Source organism: Homo sapiens, chromosome 18 (genome assembly GCF_000001405.40).
Source record: "Homo sapiens chromosome 18, GRCh38.p14 Primary Assembly".
Lineage (NCBI taxonomy): Eukaryota > Metazoa > Chordata > Mammalia > Primates > Hominidae > Homo > Homo sapiens.
Window position 1 is genome coordinate 44318707 of NC_000018.10, and position 21546 is coordinate 44340252.

Below are 21546 nucleotides of genomic sequence, written 5' to 3' on the forward strand. Positions count from 1 at the left end.
TCCTAATTTTTCCCTACCTGCCCCCCAAACTCTCAATTATTTTGCTATGTCTTATGAGAACTCTCAAGCCCCTAAAAGAAATGCAAAACATAGTTTGAGATGATATTTTAATAGAGGAAATATTCTCACTTAATGATTTCAGAAATAGCAATGTTTTCAGGAGCATCAATAAGAAGAAATAGATCTTAAACATATTAGAAGGTAGATCTCCAGCCCATCACATTCAACCAGTCTGGATGTACCAGTTGAACTGAAAATCCAGCTAAAAGGAGCTTCTGCAAGAAATATCAGAGTTGCACATCAATTGCATCGTTTCATAGCACATCAGGATTGCTTAGATATAACCTGAAGATTTTGAAGTCCAAGGTGCAATAACAATATTTTCCTTATATTGTTTCTAATGCCCACAAGCATCTTTCCAAGTAGATCATCTTCAAATGTCATCCTACATCATCTACAGAATCTTTAGGTTGAATAAAGTCTTAGATGTTAAATGTGTCCCTCAAGTCATCTTTCCTCTAGTATTCCTGAGAAGTGGTCTATAGGCTTAGGCTTAAATGCCTTCAGTAACAGGTTGCTTATTTATTTGACAAGGCATATTGTTCCTTGGTTAGACAGCTCTAATTGTTGGGAAGTTCCTCCTCAAATTGAGGCAAAATCATCCTCCCTGTAAATCCCACTCACTGGTCCTCATCCTGATTTCCAGTGCAATAGAGAATGAATTGACTCTCCCCCTTCAACTGACAGCCCCTTTGTGTGGGCAGGCTGACTCTTCAGTTGACTGTACAGTATAGGGTGACATGGCACTGTCATTTAGTCTGAAAGCCTGGGTTCAATTTTCCAGTCTTAGTTGTCACTTCCTAATGCCAAATCACTTATATCTCTGAACCTTGGAGACTTGGGCTGCAAATCTGTATAATATAGATAAGGATATATGTGTTATACCTTTCCCTTGGTTCTTGCATGAATTACATTGAGAGGATCTGTGTGAATGTACTTTCAACTCTTATATACACTGCCAATAGAAGACATTGCTAGTGAGTCTTAATTCACACTAAATAGTCCATCTTTATTTTCCTGGAGAAGTTAACTTTCATCGTTCTCATATTTATTAGATTTTATTCAGTGAAACGTTTCAGTGCTAAAGTCAAGTTCTCTCTAATTTCCACTGCTCTGTTTAATCCAGCTACCTTTCTTTTCCCTTAGGAAGCATATAGGGCTAAGTTTAATCAAGCCATGTGATACAGTATTCTCTCACTCTAGTTATTTTGTTCACTCATCTGAACCTGAGTGTTTATGTATCATACAAGGTATTATACTTTTCTTATTCTTAATCCATATTAAAATTATCTTCAGTGTAAATGAGTTCATAGCAATAAGGTATGATATTAAAGCCAAAGAGAAAAAAACAATTGCTAAGAGTCCGGAGGCATCTAATTTGTGCTTATTTTCTCTAAATTTTCTTTTCTTTCTTTTTTTTTTTTTTTTTTTTTTTTTTCTTTTTTTGAGAGGGAGTCTCACTCTGTTGCCAGGATGGACTGCAGTGGCGTGATGTTGGCTCACTGCAACTTCCGATTCCCTGGTTCAAGTGATTCTTCTGCCTCAGCCTCCCGAATAGCTGAGATTATAGGCACGTGCCACCACGTCCAGCTAATTTTTGTATTTTTAGTAGAGACGGGGTTTCACAATGTTGGCCAGGATGGTCTCGATCTTCAGATCTCGTGATCCGCCCACCTCGGCCTCCCAAAGTGCTGGGATTACGGGAGTTAGCCACCACGCCCGGCCTATTTTCTCTAAATTTTCGATTGATTTCTTCATTGTAAGCCACGTTTACTTTTTTTTTTTTTTTTTTTCAGAGCCAGCTGAGGTTTTATTTTGAAAAAAAAAAAAAAAATTGAATTGTTTTGTAGCTGGGGGCATGGGCAAGAGGGGTACCCCAGGCAGTAAACTCCCCTACGGGTGGGCTGAGGGCGAGGGCTAAGCCTCAGGTGGGTCTCCTGTTCCCTGTGCTCTCCTGCACAGCAGCCTTTCTCATGGACTCTGGGACAGCCGCAGGAAGGGTAGGCTGACGGGGGCGCTGCCATGGCTGTTCACTTGGGCAGGACATCAGAGGACTCAGGCACTAGCTTCTTATTGCAGGTCTCGATCTTCTTCACAACCACAGCCCTGGTGGAGCTGATGCAGCTGAAGGAGCTGGAGCCCGTGCCAGAGCTAATGCTGGAGCCCAGGCCGGGGCTTGTGAGGCCCTCATAAGCTGAGCTCAGCCCACCAGCATGGCCACTGCTGGTCTTCGTATGGATACTCATTTTCTGCATCCCAGACTCCAGCTGGCTCTCCTCGCCCTCCAGCAGCTTCCTGTAGGTGGCGATCTCAATGTCCAGGGCCAGCTTAATGTTCATCAGCTCCTAGTACTCACGCAGCTGCCATGCCATATCCTGCTTGGCCTGCTACAGGGCGGCCTTCAGCTCGGACAGCTTGGTGTTGGCATCCTTAACGACCAGCTCCCCGAGCTGCTCGGCATCTGCGATGGCGGCCTCCAGGAAAGCCCTCAGGCGTTTGAGGCCCTCAGTCTCAGCCTGGAGTTGGCTCATGTTCCAATTCATCTCGGAGATCTCCGTCTTTGCAGGACGCGGGTCATCCCTGTGCTTCCCAGCCAGCGTCTGCAGCTCCTCATGCTTGATCTGGTACATGCTCTCAGCCTCAGCCTGGCTGCGGTTGGCAATCTCCTTGTACTGTGCCTTGACCTCAGAGATGATACTGTCCATGTCCAGGGAGCAGCTGTTGTCCATGGACAGCACCACAGGTGTGTCCGGAACTGCAGCTCCCGGATCTTCTCTTCATACAGCGGCCTGAGAAAGTTGATCTCGTCAGTCAGCCCTTCCAGGCGAGACTCCAGCTCTACCTTGTTCATGTAAGCTTCATCCGCATGAACGGATGGGGACAAATTCATTCTCTATCTCTATAGGCTTATTGATCTCATCCTCATACTTGTTCTTGAAGTCCTCCACCAGCCCCTGCATGTTGCCAAGCTCCGCCTCCAGCTTCAGCTTCTCCTGGCCCAGTGTCTCCAGCTGCCACCCAAGGTTGTTGATGTAGCTCTGGAACATGTTGTCCATGTTGCTCTGAGCTGTCTTCTGCTGCTGCAGGAGGCTCCACTTGGTCTCCAGCATCTTGTTCTGCTGCTCCAGGAACCGTACCTTGTTGATGAAGGAGGCAAACTTGTTAAGGGTCTTGATCTGCTCTTTCTCCTGGATGCACATGCCCTGGTTGTTGGGGTCCACCTCCAGGTTCAGCAGGCTCTGGTTGACCGTGATGTCAGTGATGGTCCCATACTGCTGGCCAGCCATAGCATCTGCCCAGGCCACCCGTGAAGCTGCTGCTGCCCACTCAGGAGAAGCTCGAGGAGCTGATAGGGCACCAGGCCCACTCGTGTAAGAGTGGCTGCTGAAGGCCAGGGGGCAAGAGGTGGACACCTTGTAGGACTTCTGGGTCACCCTGATGGAAATGGTGGAGGCAGGAGTGGAGGTGGGCAGGCTGAACCAGGCAGAGATTCGAGAAGGAGTGGAGAAGCTGCTTCTAGGTCCACGTTTAAATCTTAAACCCAGAAATATCTGCTTGAGAAATGAGCTAAGCTAAAGTTTAGAGGTTTAATGACTATAATTTCTTTATAGTAAATGACTCAGGACAGTAACTTAATCAGCAAGATTTATGATCCACTTAAAACACATGTGGCTTTGTTCATCATTTCTAGGGAAACATGATTATTAAATCTGATAACATTTGCATATGTAAACTATTATAATTAGGTAAAATTTTCCTCCTTCTCATTCTAAAGGGCATTCACCAGAAGTACTAAGGAAGATTAAACTGTCAGATATAAGTTACATCATAAAATATATGTAAATTAAGTTGTTCAGTATTTTGTTTTGAACATATAACAAGGACTCACTAATAGAAAAAAATGTTAATAGAAATAAAGAGATAAACTTTAGCAAAGGAAAAAAGTGAGAATCAACATGAAAATTTTTAAAATATGAAGAATTAACATCTAGAATTTTCATTGATATTGAGAAATATCAATGAAATGGTCTCAAACTACCAAAACCCAAAGGTCAAGGTTATGTACATGACTTTGGGGCACATTTTACAGGCAGAATAGAACATGGATCAAAATTGGATCAGAATAATGGCTGATCCTAGAAGTCAAAATGATTTGGTTACCAAAATCTAGCAAACAGAAATGATCAGCAATATTCCAACTCTAAAAAGTTTCTTATTGGCAAACCCAATATTAATGTATTAGGAAACAGGGACATGTAGGAAGTAGTCAAATGAGAAATCATTCCAGAAACTCAGATAAGCATCAGGGCATCTGGAGTAGAAACAGGAATTAAGAAAATCTGGGTGCATCAGTTAGAATTAGATTCAGCTTCATAGAATAGATAACTTCAATAAAAAAGTAGTTTAAACATAATAAAAGTTGATCTGTTTCACTTTTTTTTTTTAACAAAAAAGCACAAATATAGGCAATTCAGGACTATTATGAGTAATCCACAAAGTTATCAGTTTATTCTATCTCATCCTCCCTAGGAAAAGACTCTTGTCTTAATGGTTACAAATGACTGCTGGAGCTTCAGCCATCACACAAGCATTTCAGGACATAAGGTAGATAATAAGAACAGAGTTCCTTCTCTATTTAAGGACTCTTCCCAGAAACTACACAAAACATACTCAGTTTCATTTTATTAGACAAAGTGCAGTCATATGGCAACACATTTGCAAGGCAAACTGGGAAATATGCCCAGTTAAACTTAGGGGAAAATGGATATTAGGAGGCAAAGGGCAAACAAATTTAAAATCTGGTTCTGCCATATTCCAGGCTATAATCCCTGCAGCACTGTTTCTCTGAGCATGAATGAGAGTAAAAGGCTGACATTCCTGATAGGATGTCTTTGATAACTTGGGCAATTCCTCCTCAGTCCAATGGTTTATAAACATACCCTGTTAAGCAGAGGGTTAATTTTAGAATATGAGAATCTTAGGACCTACAAGTCAGAGAATGTGTATGAAAGAGAATGATGAGAGGATAGAGAAATATCCAAGTCTGGAGAAAAAGAAGAAAAAGAATTAATAAATGACAAAGATAGAGATGGAGGATAGGAAGGGAGCGAGGGAGGAAAAAGTAGATTCAAAGAATTTAAAAGGATGAGTGAATATGGAAAAGGAAAAAAGCAAGATGAAAAAAAAATGCATGTACCACTTTGCCTGTGAAGTATTGCTGCCTTCAGCTCATTCTCTGTCACTATCCACATGGCTGGGAATATTATTCCGTTATAGGCAATGCATGAGTTTACATAGACATAAAATAATTTAAAATGAAAATGACCATGGAAGTTTTGTGATTCATTTGGAAGAGAAATTTCAAGCATTTCATTTCTTATGAAAAAGAACACTGCAGCTCCCCAGTCTTATGACAGATATCTTTGTGTGCTGGGTCTGACCTGGCAGTCAAGCAGGACAATCTAAAATATACAGTGAGAGGGAAGAAAATGAAAGAAAGAATAAAGGAAATGGAGCAATTACATTTTTATCTCATGTAAAATCTGCAATAATCGCTGTAATCTAAAAGCTTTTAGGTCTAAGTTTTGTTTGATGGCTGGATTTGCACTGACACTTGTAGAGAAACGAGAAGTAATACATCCTCCTTCCTGGTACTGGTTGGATGCAGAATAAAACTCCCAGGCAATTTTGGCACTTCTGGTGTTCAGGCCGTGAGTAAATTACTTGCAACATCTTAGACCATTAGAATGATTACAGCAGACTGTAATACACAGTAATAGAAGGCCTAGGGCTGTAAAATTCCTTGATAATGTTTAGTTATGTGCCACTCTGTAGTACCTAGAAATAATTAAGAGAGTTAGTGAGAAAGGACAACTAGTAGTTGGATAGCTATCTCCAATTCAATGAATCAGAGACAGGGTGGATTTCAACAACTGTAACTGTTCTTAAGACTTTCTATTATGAAACTACCAAGAAAAAGATCACAACCTTCTTTTCTTGGTATTTTCCTTAGAAGGGTCTAAATGAGATGTTTAAATACAATTCCTCTTCAGATCCTAACTAAACCAAGCATTCTGGATGTGGCAGAAATAAAGAAAAGAGCCCTTAAACTCTTTATTGAATGCTTTACATTCAATAAAGGGCTTAAGGCCCAGTGGTAAGCTTTGAGAATACACAGTCAGTGAGATGGACTGGGCATCCATGCAAAGTGCTTGAAGTCCTATACCTTGACTTATACCCATGTATTAATATATGGATGGAAAGAACATGAATATGTGGCTCTATGGTCAGGAAATCAAGGGAAATTTGTGGGGAACTGGAAGTCACTGTCATTGAAAATCTGAAGGGAATGGAAACCCGGATATCTCCTGAATCTAAAACCTACCAAGGCAAAAGTTTTGGGAGGTGCTTTTATCATTACTCCATCTACTCTCCTGGAAACTGGAATCTCTGTTCAGTCTAGATGGCAAGGGCTGGTCCAGATTTGAAAATGATATCTTGGACTTAGTTGAGGTTATCTGCAGTCATTTTCACTATGTTTCATTCAGCAAGTAATGCAAATGATATCGTCTCAATCCAGGATATTGCTGGGCCAGTGGATGGCTGCCAGTGCTATCCTTCCGCTTGTAGAGGAAAGCCCAATGTTTCAAGACCTCTTCAACCTGCAGTGAGGAAGGAATGCACCAGTTCAGAGCAAAAGGTGGGCTCATTTCCATCCATACAGTTTTAGGATAGGGCAAAGGGCAGAGAATAGGCACCTCAGCCTAGATCATCTATATCTGACATCCAGGTTCTGGATTCATAACTTCTTGTTAAGCCAGTTTACCTCACCTAGTATTTTTTCTTTTTTGAAAATCAGGAATCAAAGTTTCAGTGTGTCAGATTTGGTCCTGGCTTTCTACAATGTACTCCTAGGCTGAAGTCATAAGAAGGGATCATCTCTAATTTTTATCCAATTTCTAACAATTCCAAGTTCATAAGAAGGGATCATGTTTTATTCTCAACCAATTTCTAACAATTCCAAGTGATATATATACGGGCATTGTCTCTTCAAAATGATATTAGCATATTCATTTCTGTATTCTAAAATATTAAAATGTAAAAATAACACATATATAACAGGTGACATTATGAATGTTAATGCTAACCCTCCCACTGCCAAAAATCTACCTTTAAAACTAACATCATACAGGAACATTCTGTTTTATATATATTCCCTCAGCCGAATCTTGTGCAGACAGTGCTTCAGTTGCAAGCAGATCCTGAAACAATTGTGAATCTGGATGCATTTCATGCTTTACCCCTAAGTTTACTTGTATTTGTGCTGCCCCCTGTAGGCGAGTTTTCAAGCACTGACAGTTGGTTAAACTCACTAAAAACCTCACTGTTAAGGATCTCAAGCAACTTGTGGGGATTATCATTACAAATCTCAGGTTGAAAATTGATCAATAACATTACCACTTGGAACCATAGCACTTACAGTATGACCATGTGATTCTTCCACCTCAGCCTGACAATATCATATTCTCCAGAGAAATAAGAGGCTGCCAAAGATTTCACCTTCTGCAATTTTGTCATAGCAATCTTCTCCTGTCTCTGTTTCCTATTTTGTGTTTTGTGGTTTCTCTGAAATTCCCCCTTACTCCACATCTTTCGACTCCTGATTTCTTATCATTGTTGTGACAACAGCTTGCATTTGTATAATGTCTCTTTCTTCTGCAAAACAGAAAACACAGAAATTATGTGTAAATCTCCAAGAATTCTTGCAACATCATCCATCTGATATGGGGGCAATGAAGAAAAAAAAAAAACAGAAAAACTGAAATTATTTGCTCAAGATGGTGCCATAAGAAGCATTCGCTCCCAGAGCCCAAAAGATGTGTGGTGAATAGGAGGCAAACCCTTGCACAGGGGCTCAGGGGGCCAGGTTCCTATATTGCCCCATTAACTATTTAATCTCTCAGAGCTAATTTCCCTTAAGTAAAAAAAGACAAATTCTCATCTGCCCACCATATACCAATATGGATAAAGGTAATAACTATGTAGAAAAAAGGTTTGCAAACCTTTGAGTGATATAAATATGAGCTATTACTGTTTGTAAATATTGCACCCAAGAATTAAAGATGATTTAAGTTTTTCCATGTTGTATGTAAAATCTAAGAGCATCTGCAACAGTTGTCCTTCAGAGAAAGGCAAAAAAAAAAAAAAGCCGTCGTCTTTTTCACATGTATCCATTTCGTTAAATAATTAATTCAAATCATACATATTCCTTTATACACCAATCCAGTTACGCTTTCAAAAAACTTTGATCACTTCTATCAATTTGTCCTCGTGATATATTTCCTTTGGAAATTTACAAACACACAATGCACAATGTATTTTTCTCTCAGCAGTTTGTTCTGAAAGGCTACTCAAGATTTTAACCATTTTATCTCTTTTATTTATAAGTGTGTCCCGTTACCATATACAGTCACATGTTGCTTAATGATAGCATACATTCTGAGAAATGCATTTTTACAGAATTTTATTATTTCACAAACATCATGGAGGATATTTACAGAAACCTAGAGGGTGTGGTCTATTGCTCCTAAGCTACAAACCTATACAGCATGTTACTGTACTAAATATTGTAGGTAATTATAACACAATGATAAATATTTGTGTAACTAAACAGGAAAGGTAGGACAAAGATATGGTCAAAACAATGTTTAAATGGCACAACTGGATAGGACACTTACCATAAATGGAGCTTGCAGGACTGGACGTTGATCTGGATGAGTCAATGAGGGAGAGGTGAGTGAATGTGAAGCCCTGGATATTATTGGAGACTAATATAGACTTTATAAACACTGTACATCGAGGCTACACTAAATTTATTTTTAAAATAAAGTAATTATGCTATGATGTCACTAGGCAATAGAACTTTTTCAGCTCTATTACAATCTTATAGGGCCACTGTTGTCATCTATGAGGTCTATCATTTAACAAAACATTGTTTTGTGGTGCATGACCATATTATCAAAAAGCCAAGTTAATAAAAGACAAAAATACAAAGATCTGCACATGTTGAGTAGAATAAACAAGGGGACACATTGTATGGCATTTTCTTGACTGCTCTGGCTAGGAGGGGCTTGCAGAGATGCCAACCAATTTCTTCCTTTTACAGGAGTCTGTAGAAACGGAATTATTGGGAATGTGAAGATGGTACAAAAATCTTGGGATTTTTCTAATCGAAGCATGTGTAGCTCTATTCAGAAATGTTCTACTTTGTACTTTGATATTTTCTCCCTCCCTAATCACACCCACACAAATGAAGCCTATCATCATAGGCTTGATTGAACCTGCATCATATATTTTTGAGAAAATATTTTGGAAATGGTGACAATTTCATACAATCACCTAGATGTTTGTATCTATAGAAATCTGAAGCACTGTCTGAAGGAAAAACAAAGATAACCAGATGACTTCCTTGTTTATTATCATGTAATCAGCTATTTTATAATAATCATAATTTTTTCCTTAGTCTCCTTTCAATAATTTATTGAGGAAAAATGCCTATAACAAGCCCCAAATTGCTCCCAGCTCCCCAAATAATATCACAGCTTCTATCTCAAAAATTACATAAGAGAATGATTATCAAAAAATTAAAATTTGACATTAAATGGCCCTAAGGGCAATAGATACTACTTAAAGAGATTTTTAAAAATATATTAGTACATGGAAGTAAAGCTTTAAAATTACTTGATATACTCAAAAGGGATATTATAATAGTTAGTGCCCCAAATGAAAATGAAAGAATATGAATCTAGGTCTATGTCTTTATTTTAAAAAATAATAGTTTATAAGCTGATTGAAATAAGTATGGATGTATCTGTCCACAGTCCATGTGAAATCAAGTTCTAATAAAATGTTGCAGAAAACAATACTTGTTACAAGCTCAAGGGAAAGCAAACTCAGCAAACATGAAGAAAAGTTCTGGCATACTATTATGTTGGTGCAAAAGTAATTGCAGTTTTTAAAATTTGCCATTAAAATGGCAAAATCACAATTACTTTTGCACCAACCTATTAGGTAGGTTACACAGATGCTGTTACCATCAGCACTGTAATAGAATCCAAGCTGATCTGTTCTTTTGTTTCTTTTTTCTGGGAGTTGGATGGGGGTAGAATGGAAACAGTCAATGAACATGGCCATAACATTAGAGTGATGCCTTTTAATATGAATATAGCTATACTTCTGTTTATGTCCCACCCTGTTGGTGAATGAATCAAAGCCTGTCCCATTCTGGAGGCAGTGATACATTAAACTCTTACATTAATCAACTTTCTTTCAAAAGAAAATTATTTATTCAACATGTATTTACTTAACCATGTGCCAGGTATTCCACTGACTACTGGGTAAACAAGTCCATAGTATTGAAAAATAAATGCAGTTTCTGCAACCAAGGAGTTCACATCTTTACATCAAGCCAGATTCAAACCTCAGTAATTTACCATGATTGAAATGTGCATGCATGGTACTGGTACCAAAACAGAGATATAGACCAATGGAACAGAACAGAGCCCTCAGAAATAATGCCGCATATCTACAACCTCTGATCTTTGATAAACCTGACAAAAACAAGAAATGGGGTAAAGGATTCCCTATTTAATAAATGGTGCTGGGAAAACTGCCTAGCCATATGTAGAAAGCTGAAACTGGATCCCTTCCTTACACCTTATACAAAAATTAATTCAAGATGGATTAAAGACTTAAACGTTAGACCTAAAACCATAAAAACCCTAAAAGAAAACATAGGCAATACCATTCAGGACATAGGCATGGGCAAGGACTTCATGTCTAAAACACCAAAAGCAATGGCAACAAAAGCCAAAATTGACAAGTGGGGTCTAATTAAACTAAAGAGCTTCTGCACAGCAAAAGAAACTACCAGCAGAGTGAACAGGCAACATACAGAATGGGAGAAAATGTTTGCAATCTACTCATCTGACAAAGGGCTAGTATCCAGAATCTACAATGAACTCAAACAAATTTACAAGAAAAAAACAACCCCATCAAAAAGTGGGCAAAGGATATGAACAGACACTACTCAAAAGAAGACATTTATGCAGCCAAAAGACACATGAAAAAATGCTCATCATCACTGGCCATCTGAGAAATGCAAATCAAAACCACAATGAGATACCATCTCACACCAGTTAGAATGGCAATCATTAAAAAGTCAGGAAACAACAGGTGCTGGAGAGGATGTGGAGAAATAGGAACACTTTTACACTGTTGGTGGGACTGTAAACTAGTTCAACCATTGTGGAAGTCAGTGTGGCGATTCCTCAGGGATCTAGAACTAGAAATACCATTTGACCCAGCCATCCCATTACTGGGTATATAACCAAAGGATTATAAATCATGCTGCCATAAAGACACATGCACACGTATGTTTATTGTGGCACTATTCACAGTAGCAAAGACTTGGAACCAACCCAAATGTCCAACAATGATAGACTGGATTAAGAAAATGTGGCACATATACACCATGGAATACTATGCAGCCATAAAAAATGATGAGTTCACATCCTTTGTAGGGAGGGACATGGATGAAGCTGGAAACCATCATTCTCAGCAAACTATCTCAAGGACAAAAAACCAAACACCACATGTTCTTACTCATAGGTGGGAATTGAACAATGAGAACACATGGACACAGGAAGGGGAACATCACACACCAGGGCCTGTTGTGGGGTGGGGGGAGGGAGGAGGGATAGCATTAGGAGATATACCTAATGTTAAATGACGAGTTAATAGGTGCAGCATACCAACATGGCACATGTATACATATGTAACTAACCTGCACGTTGTTCACATGTACCCTAAAACTTAAAGTATAATAAAAAAAGAAAAAGAAACACAAAATACAAACAAACAAAATGTGAAAGGAAAAAAAATGTGCAATGGGTATCAGGAAACATATATCAGTTCTTTTATTTTAAGCTGCTATATATTATTATTGTAGTTACTACTTTAATTGTTAGCTTCAGGGGTACATGTGTAGGTTTGTCATATAGGCAAATTGCATGTCACAGGGGTTTGGCATACAGATTATTTCATCATCCAGGTAATAAGCATAGTTTCTCATAAATAGTTTTTAGATCCTCTCTCTTCCCATGCTCTACCCTTAAGTATGCCTCAGAGTCTATTGTGTTTCCTGTTTGTATCCATGTGTACTCAATGTTTAGCTTCCACTTATAAGTGAGAACAGGTGGTATTTTGTTTTCTGTTTCTTTTAGTTAGCTTAGAATAATAGCCTCCAGCTGCATCCATGTTGTTGCAAAGGACATGATCTCATTGTTAATGGCTGCGTAATATTCCATAGTGTGTATGTACCACATTTTCTTTATCCAGTCTATATTGATGAGGATTAAGTTGATTCCATGTCTTTGCTATTGTGAAGAGTGCTGCAATGAACATATTCATGCATATGTTTTTTGCTAGAATGATTTATTCCTATGGGTATATACCCAAGAATAAGATTGCCAGGTTGAATGATAATTCTGTTTTGAGTTCTTTGAGAAATTGCTACATTGCTTTCCACAATGGCTGAACTAATTTTATTCCCACCAGCAGCGTATAAGCATTCCCTTTTCTCTACAGCATTGCCAGCATCTGTTATTTTTTGACTGTTTAATAATTGCCATTTTGACTGGTGCGAGATGGTACCTGTGATGGTTAACATTGTCAATTTGATCAGATTGAAGGGTGCAAATTATTGTTTTTGGCTGTGTTTGTGAGGGTGTTTCCAGAAAAGATTAACATTTGAGTTCGTGGCCTGGGAGAGGAAGACCCACCCTCAATGTGGGTGGGCAGCATCCAATCAGCTACCAGCATGGCTGGAAAAAACAGGCGGAAGAAAGTAAAATATCTGGCTTGCTGAGTCTTCTAACTTTCATTTTTCTCCTGTGCTGGGAACTTCCTGTCCCTGAACATCAGACTCCAGATTCTTCAGCCTTTGCACTCTTGGACTTACACCAGTGGTTTGCCAGGGGCTCTTGAGCCTTTGGCCACAGACGGAAGACCACACAGTTGGCTTCCCTAATTTTGAGGCTGTGGGACTCAGACTGAGCCACTACTGGCTTCCTTGCTCCTCAGCCTGCAAATGACCTATTGTGGGATTTCTTTACCTTGTGATCCTGTGAGTTGATTCTCCTTAGTAAACTCCGTTTCATATATACATATATCCTATTAGTTGTGTCCCTCTGGAGAACCCTAATACAGTACCTTATTGTGGTTTTGATTTGTATTTCTCTAATGATTAGTGATTTTGAACATTTCTTCATATGCCTGTTATCGACATGCATGTCTTCTTTTGAAAAGTGTCTGTTCACATGCTGCCGACTTTTTAATGGGGTTGTTTGCTTTATACTTGTAAATTTGTTTAACTTCCTTATAGATGCTGGATATTACACTTTTGTCAGATGAACAGTATGTGAATATTTTCTCCCATCCTGTAGGTTGTCTGTTTATGCTGTTGATAGTTTTGTTTTGCTCTGCAGAAGCTCTTTAGTTTAATTAAGTGCCACTTGTCATTTTTGTTTTTGTTGCAATTGCTTTTGGCATCTTCATTGTGAAGTCTTTGCCAAGATCTATGTTCAGAATGATATTTCCTAGGTTATCTTCCAAAGTTTTTATAACTTTACGTTTGACACTTAAGTCTTTCATCCATTTTGAGTTTATTTTTATATATGGTGTAATGAAAGGGTCCAGTTTTAATATTTTGCATATGGCTAGCCAGTTATCCCAGCATCAATTATTGAATAGGGAGTCCTTTCCTCATTACTTATTTTTGCCAACTTCGTCATAGACAGTTTGTTATAGGTGTCTGACATTATTTCTGGGCTCTCTATTCTATTCCTTTGGTCTAAATGTCTGTTTTCATACCAGTACTATGCTGTTTTGGTTACTGTGGCCTTGTAGCATAGTTTGAAGCCAGTAACAAGACACTTCGAGCTTTGTTATTTTTGCTTATAATTACCTTGGCTATTCAGGCTCCTTTTTTGCTTTTATATGAGTTTTTAAATAGTTTTTTCCTAATTCCGTGAAGACTGTCATTTGTAGTTTGATAGGAATAACATTGAATCTCTAGATTGCTTTGGGAAGTATGGCTATTTTAACAACATGGATCCTTCCTATCCATGAGCATGGAATGTTTGTCCAATTCTTTACATCATCTCTGACTTCATTGAGCAGTGTTGCATTATTCTAGTTGTAGAGAACTTAGACCTCACTTGTTAAGCTCTATTCCTAGGTATTTTATACTTTTTATGGCTATTGTGAATTGAATTGTGTTCTTGATTTGGCTGTCAGTTTGGACATTGTTGGTGTATGGAAATGCTACTGAGTTTTGTACATTGATTTTGTTTTCTGAAACTTTGCTGAAGTAGTTTAACAGATCTAGAAACCTTTGGGCAGAACCTTGTGGGTTTTCTAGGTATAGAATTGTATCATCTGCAAACAGAGATAGTTTGACATCCTCTCTTCCCATTTCGATGCCTTTTATTTTTTTCTCTCGCCTGATCTCTCTGGCTATAACTTCCAGTACTATGTTAAATAGGAGTGGTGAGAGTTACCAAACTTGCCTTGTTCCAGTTCTCAAGGAGAATGCTTCCAGCTTTTGCCCATTCTGTATGATGTTGACTATTGGTTTGTCATAGATGGCTATTATCATTGAGGATTTTTTTACATGAAGGGTTGTTGAGTTTTATCAAATGACTTTTCTGATAATCATATGATTTTTTAAATTTTAGTTCTGTTTATGTGATGAATCACATTAATTTGCATATCTCGAACCAACTTTGCATCAAAGGGGTAAAGCCTACTTGATCATAGTGGAATAGCTTTTTCACGTACTGCTGGATTTGGTCTGATAGTATTTTGTTGAAGATTGTTGCTTCTGTGTTCATCAAGGATATTCCATGATGTTTTCTTTTTCTGTTGTGTTTCTGCCTTTCTTCCAGGTTTTCCCATCAGGATGATGCTGGCTTCAGAGAATGAGTTAAAGAGGACTTCCTCCTCCTCAATTTTATGGAATAGTTTCAGTAGGAATAGTACCAGCTCTTCTTTATACATCTGGTAGAATTCAGCTGTGAATCTGTCTGGTCCTGGGCTTTTTTCCAGTTGGAAGGCTTTTTATTACTGATTCAATTTTGGTATTCACTATTGGTCTGTTCAGGGATTCAATTTTTTCCTGGTTAACTCTTAGGAGGTTGTAAGTTTCCAGGAATTTGCCTATTTCTTCTAGATTTTCCAGTTTATGTGCAGAGAGGTGTCAGTAGTAGACTCTAAGGGTTTTTTTTGAACTTCCATGGAGTTGATGGTAATGCCCCTTGTCATTAAAGATTGTGTTTATTTGGATATTCTTTTTTTTTTTACATTAATTAACTATTCTCACTTTCCCCCCATTCCTCATTATCCTTCTCAGCCTCTGGTAACCATTCGTCTACTCTCCACCTTCATGAATTCAATTGTTTTAATTTTTAGCTCCTAAAAATAAGTGAGAACATGCAAAGTTTGTCTTTCTGAGCCTGAGATTATTTCACTTAAAATGATGAAATCCAGTGCCATCTATGTTGTTGCAAATCATAGGGTCTCATTATTTTTTATGGATTAATAGCACTCTATTATGTATATGTACATTTTCATTATCCACTCATCTGTTGATGGACACAAGTTGCTTCCAAATCTTGCCTACCGTGAATAGTGCTGCCATAAACATGGGAGTACAGACATCACTTCAATATACTGATTTCTTTTTTTTGGTGGGGCGGGGGGGTGGGTATATACCCATAAGTGGGAAGGCTTGATCATATGGTAGCTCTATTTTTAGTTTTTCGAGGAAACTTTATACTGTTCTCCATAATAGTATTAATTTACATTCCCATCAATAGCATATGAGGATTCTCTTTTATACACATCCTCACCAATATTTTTTATTGCCTGCCTTTTTGATAAAAGCCATTTTAACTGGGGAGAGAAGACATCTCTTTGTAGTTTTGATTTGCATTTATCTGATAATGAATGATGTTGTGCACCTTTTCATATACGTATTTGCCATTTGTATGTCTTTTGAGAAATATATATTCAGATCTTTTGTACACTTTTAAATCACATGGTTAGATTTTTTTCTATATACTTGTTTCAGCTCCTTATATATTCTGGTTATTAATACCTTGTCAGATGGATAGATTCCAAATATTTTCTCCCACTCTATGGGTTGTCTCTTCAATTTTTTGATCATTTTCTTTGCTGTACAGGTTTTTAACTTAATGGGATCCCATTTGTCCATTATTGCTTTGTTATCTAGGCTTGTGGAGTATTACTGAAATCATTGCCCACTACAATGTCCTAAAGTTTCTCTTTCTTGCAGTAGTTTCATAGTTTGAGGTCTTAGATTTAAGTCTTTAATAAATTTTGGCTTGATTTTTGCATATGGTGAAAGATACGGGTCTAGTTTTATTTTTAGACATACGAGTAACCAGTTTTCTTAGCACCATTAACTGAAGAGAGTATCCTTTCCCCAGTGTATGTTCTTGCCACATTTGTAAAAAATTTCACTGTAAATGTATGGATTCATTTCTGGGTTCTCTATTCTGTTTCATTGCTCCATATGTCTGCTTACATGTCAGTACCATGATGTTGTGGTTACTATAACTCTGTAATATAATTTGAACTCAAGTAATGTGATGCTTGCAGTTTTGTTCTCTTGCCCCAGATGGCTTTGGCTATTCTGGGTCTTTTGGGGTTCTATGTAAATTTTAGGATTTTTTTTTTCTACTTCAAGAATGTCATTGGTTTTTTGACAGGGATTGCATTGAATCTGTAGATTGCTCTGGGTAGTTGGACATTCATCAATATTTATTGTTTCCATTGTAGAAAGCTTTTACTTCTTTGATTAATTCCTTGGTATTGTTTTTTGTTTGTAGCTATTGAAAGTGGGATTTCTTTTGCAGATTGATTGCTGTTGGCATATACAAATGCTACTTGTTTTTGAATGTTGATCTTGTATCCTGCAACTTTACTGAATTTATCAGTTCTAATTTTTTTTTGGTGGAGTGTAGTCTATGCTCTCACTTCTATACTATAAAAAATATCTGAAACTAGGTAATTTATAAAGAAAATATGTTTAATTGGCTCATGATCTCACAGGCTGTACAGGAAACATGACAGCATTTTTGCAAATTCTGAGGAGGTCTCAGGAAACTTACAATTATGGCAGAAGGCAAAGAGGGAGCTATAACTTCACATGGCTAGAACAGGAGAAAGAGAGGCAGGTGGTGTTACACACTTCGAAACAACCAGATCTCACAATAATTCACTCAGTATCACAAGATTAGCACCAAAGGGGAAATTCTCACCCATGATTCAATTACCTCCTACCAGGCTCCATCTCCAAAACTGAGGATTATAATTTGACATGAGATTTGGGCAGGGTCACAGATCCAACCCATATCATGGAGTCTTTAGGTTTTTAAAAATATAAGATTGTATCATCTGCAAACAATAATAATTTGACTTTGTTCTTTCCAGTTTGGGTGCTCTTTATTTCTTTTCCTTGTCAGAATGCTATAGGTAGAACTTTCAGTACTATCTTGAATGACAGTGAGCATCTTTGTGTTCCAGACCCTAGAGGAAAGGCCTTCAGTGTTTCCCTATTTGGTATGATACTAGCTGTGCATCTGTCATAAATGGCTTTTATTATGTTGAGGTATATGTCTTCTTCAATACCCAGTGTTTTGAGGGGTTTTATCATAAAGGGATATTGAATTTTATCAAATGTTTTCTCAGCATCAATTAAAATGATCATATTGTTTTGTCTTTCATTATGTTGATATGACGTATCACATTGATTGATTTGCATATGTTGACCCAAACTTTATCCCTGGGATAAATCCCACATGGTCATAATGAATGATCTTTTTAATGTGTTGTCAAATTTATTTTGTGGGCATTTTGTTGGAGATTTTGCATCATTATTCATCAGGGACATTGGCCTGTAGTATTTTTTTATGTGTCTGTGGTTTTGATATCAGATTAATACTGGCCTCATAGAATGAGTTTGGAAGTGTTTCTATCTCTTCTGGTTTTTGGAGTAGTTTTTGGGATTAGTTATTTAAATGTTTGGTAAGATTCAGCATTGAAGCTCTTGGATCCCAGGCTTTTCTTTGTTGAGAGATTTTATTATAGAATCAATCTCATTACTTGTTATTGGTCTATTCAGGTTTTGGGTTTCTTCATGGTTCAATCTTGGTAGGTTGCATATGTCTAGAAAATCATCCATTTCTTCTTAATTTTTCATTATATTGTCATATAGTTGCTCATAGTAGCCACTAATGATTTTCTGAATTTCTTTAGTATCAGTTTTAGTGTTTCCTTTTTCATCAATAATTATGTTTATTTGGGTCTCTTCTTGTTTTTTTAGTTAATCTGGCTAAAGGTTTGTTAATGTTGTCTATCTTTTTAGAAAACTAACTTTTTATTTCATTGTTTTTTGTATTTTCATATCAATTTTATTTATGCTCTGATATTATTTACTAATTATTGATTTGGTTTGTTTTTGCTTTTCCAGTTATTTAAGATGCATTGTTAGGTTATTTATTTGAAGTTATTTTACTTTTTTGATGTAGGCACTTATAGATATAAACTTTGCTCTTAGTACTGCCCTCACTGTATCTCATAGGTTTGGATATGTTTTGTTTCCATTATCATTTGTTTCAAGAAACTTTTCAATTTTATTTTTAATTTCTTCGTTGACCCACTGGTCATTTAGGGGCATATTGTTTAATTTGCATGTGTTTGTGTAGTTTCAAAAATTCCTCATTATCAATTTCTAGTCTTACTGCACTGTAACCAGAGAATATGATTGATGTTATTTCAATTTTTTGAATTTAAGACATGTTTTGTGTACTAACATGTGGTCTTTTTTTGAGAATGAACCACATGCTGAAGAGAAGAATGTGTGTTCTGCAGTCACAAAATAAAATGTTTGTCAAGATCTATTAGGTTCATTTGATCTATAATGCAGATTAAGTCTGATGTTTCTTTGTTGATTTTTTAAATTGGAAATCTGTCCAATGCTGAAAGTGATGTGTTGTCATCTCCAGCTATTATTATATTGGGGCCTATCTCTCCCTTTATCTCTAATAATATGTGTTTTCTATATATGGGAGCTACATTGTTGGGTGCATATATATTTACTATTGTTATATCCACTTGCTGAATCGACCCCTTTATCATTATATAGTAACTTTCTTTGTCTCTTTTTATAGTTTTTTACTTGAATCTATTATTTCTTATATAAGTATAGCTACTCTGTCTCTTTTTTGATTTTCATTGTTATGGAATATCTCTTCCCATCTCTTTATTTTCAGTCTGTGTGTGTCTTTATAGATCAAGTGTGTTTCTTGTAGGCAACAGATCACTGGGTCTTCTTTTTTAATCCATTCTGCCATTTTATATCTTTTGATCAGAGAAATTAGTTCATTTACATTCAACTTTATTATTGATAAGTGAGAACTCTTAATCCTGCCATTAAAAGAAAATAACCATTTTCTTCTGGTAATTTTGTGGTCTTCTCTTCCTTCTTTCCTTCCTTCTTTTCAATGAAGGTGATTTTCTCTGGTGGTATGATTTGATTTCTTACTTTTTATTTTTTGTGTATCTGTTGTAGGGTTTTTAATTTGACATTACCATGAGGTTTGCAAATACTATCTTATATCCTACTATTTTAAACTGAAGACAACACATATTGCATAAACAAATGAACAAACAAGCAAAAAAAAACTAATAAAAACTCTACACTTTATCTCTCCCCTTTTTAATTTTGGCTGTTTCTCTTATATCTTATTATGCTGTCTATGCTTGAAAAGTTGTTGTAGTTATTATTTTGCTTGGTTAATCTTTTAGTTTTTCTACTTAAGAGTAGTTTACACACTAAAATTACAGTGTTATAATATTCTGTTTTCCTGAGTACTTACTATTTACAGTGAACTTTATACTTTCAGATAATTTCTTATTGCTCATTAATGTTCTTTACTTTTTGATTGAAGAACTCCTTTTAGTGTTTCTCATAGGACAAGTCTGGTGTTGATAAAATACCTCAGATTTTGTTTGTCAGGAAGTCTTTATTTCTCCTTCATGATTGAAGGATATTTTTGCCAGATACATTCTGTGTTAAGAGATGTTTCCCTCAGCAAGTTAAATATGTCATGCCACTCTTGCCTGGCCTTTAAACTTTCCAGACATATTGCAGCTCCTTTGTGAGTTATTTGTTTCTTTCATTTTGTTGCTTTTAGAATCCTTCTTTATCCTTGACCTTTGGGAGTTTGATTATTAAATGTCTTGAGGTAGTCTTCTTTGAGTTAAATCTGCTTAGTGTTCTATAAACTTCTTGTGCTTGAATGTTAATATATTTTCTTCAGTTTGGGAAGTTCTCTGTTATCTCTTTGAAAAAACTTTCTACCCCTATCTCTTTCTCTACCCCTTCCCATAATGGGTTAACCCATAAATTGTTAAGGCCAATAACTCTAAGATTTGATCTTTTGAGAGAATTTTCTAGATCTTGTAAGTGTGCTATATTCTTATTTTTTTTAATCTCCTCTGACTGTGTATTTTCAAATACCCTCTCTTCAAGGTCACTAATTATTTATTCTGCTTAATCAATTCTGCCAATAAGGGATTCTGATGCCTTCAGTATGTCAGTTGCATTTTACAACTCCAGAATTTTTGCTTGATTCTTTTTAATGATTTCAATCTCTTTGTTAAATATATCTAATTGAATTATGAATTCCTTTTCTGTGTTATCTTAATTTTTTTTGTCTTTTTTAAAAATCTCAATAGTTTGGGGGAACATGTGGTGTTTGGTTACATGGATAATTTCTTTATGGTGGTTTCTGAGATTTTGGTGCACCTATTACCCAAGCAGTGTACACTGTACTAAATGTGTAGTCTTTTAACCTTTCCCCCTCCACTCTTCCCCCCGAGTCCCCAGAGTTCATTTTATAATTCTTATACCTTTGTGTCCTCATAACTTAGCTCTCATTCACAAGTGAGAACACACAATGTTGGTTTTCTATTTTTAAGTTACCTCACTTAGAATAATGGTCTCCAACTCCATCCAGATTGCTGCAAATGTCATTATCTCATTCTTTTTTATGGTTGAGTAGTATTCCATGGTGTGTGTGTGTGTGTGTGTGTGTGTATCATATTTTCTTTATCCACTTGTTGATTGATAGGCATTTGGGCTGGTTTCATATTTTTACAATTGTGAATTGTGCCACTATAAACATGCATATGCAAGTGTCTTTTTTATATAATGACTTATTTTCCTCTGGGTAGATATCCAGTAGTGAAATTGCTGGATCAAATGGTAGATCTACTTTTAGTTCTTTAAGAAGTCTCCATACTGTTTTCCATATTGGTTGTGCTAGTTCACATTCC

At 36.9% G+C, this 21546-nt stretch overlaps 1 long non-coding RNA gene and 1 pseudogene across 1 annotated transcript in view; both read right to left on the reverse strand.

Annotated features, from left to right (window-relative positions):
- KRT8P5 (keratin 8 pseudogene 5) lies at window positions 1854-3582 on the reverse strand (annotated as a pseudogene).
- Window positions 4729-21546, reverse strand: part of LINC01478 (long intergenic non-protein coding RNA 1478) — a 208263-nt gene continuing 191445 nt past the window's right edge. Inside the window, exons 3-5 of the long non-coding RNA NR_110792.1 lie at window positions 7541-7776; window positions 6446-6722; window positions 4729-5898 (exon numbers count right to left, since the gene is read on the reverse strand). This is a non-coding gene — a long non-coding RNA (long intergenic non-protein coding RNA 1478). The remainder of the gene's footprint in view (window positions 5899-6445; window positions 6723-7540; window positions 7777-21546) is intronic.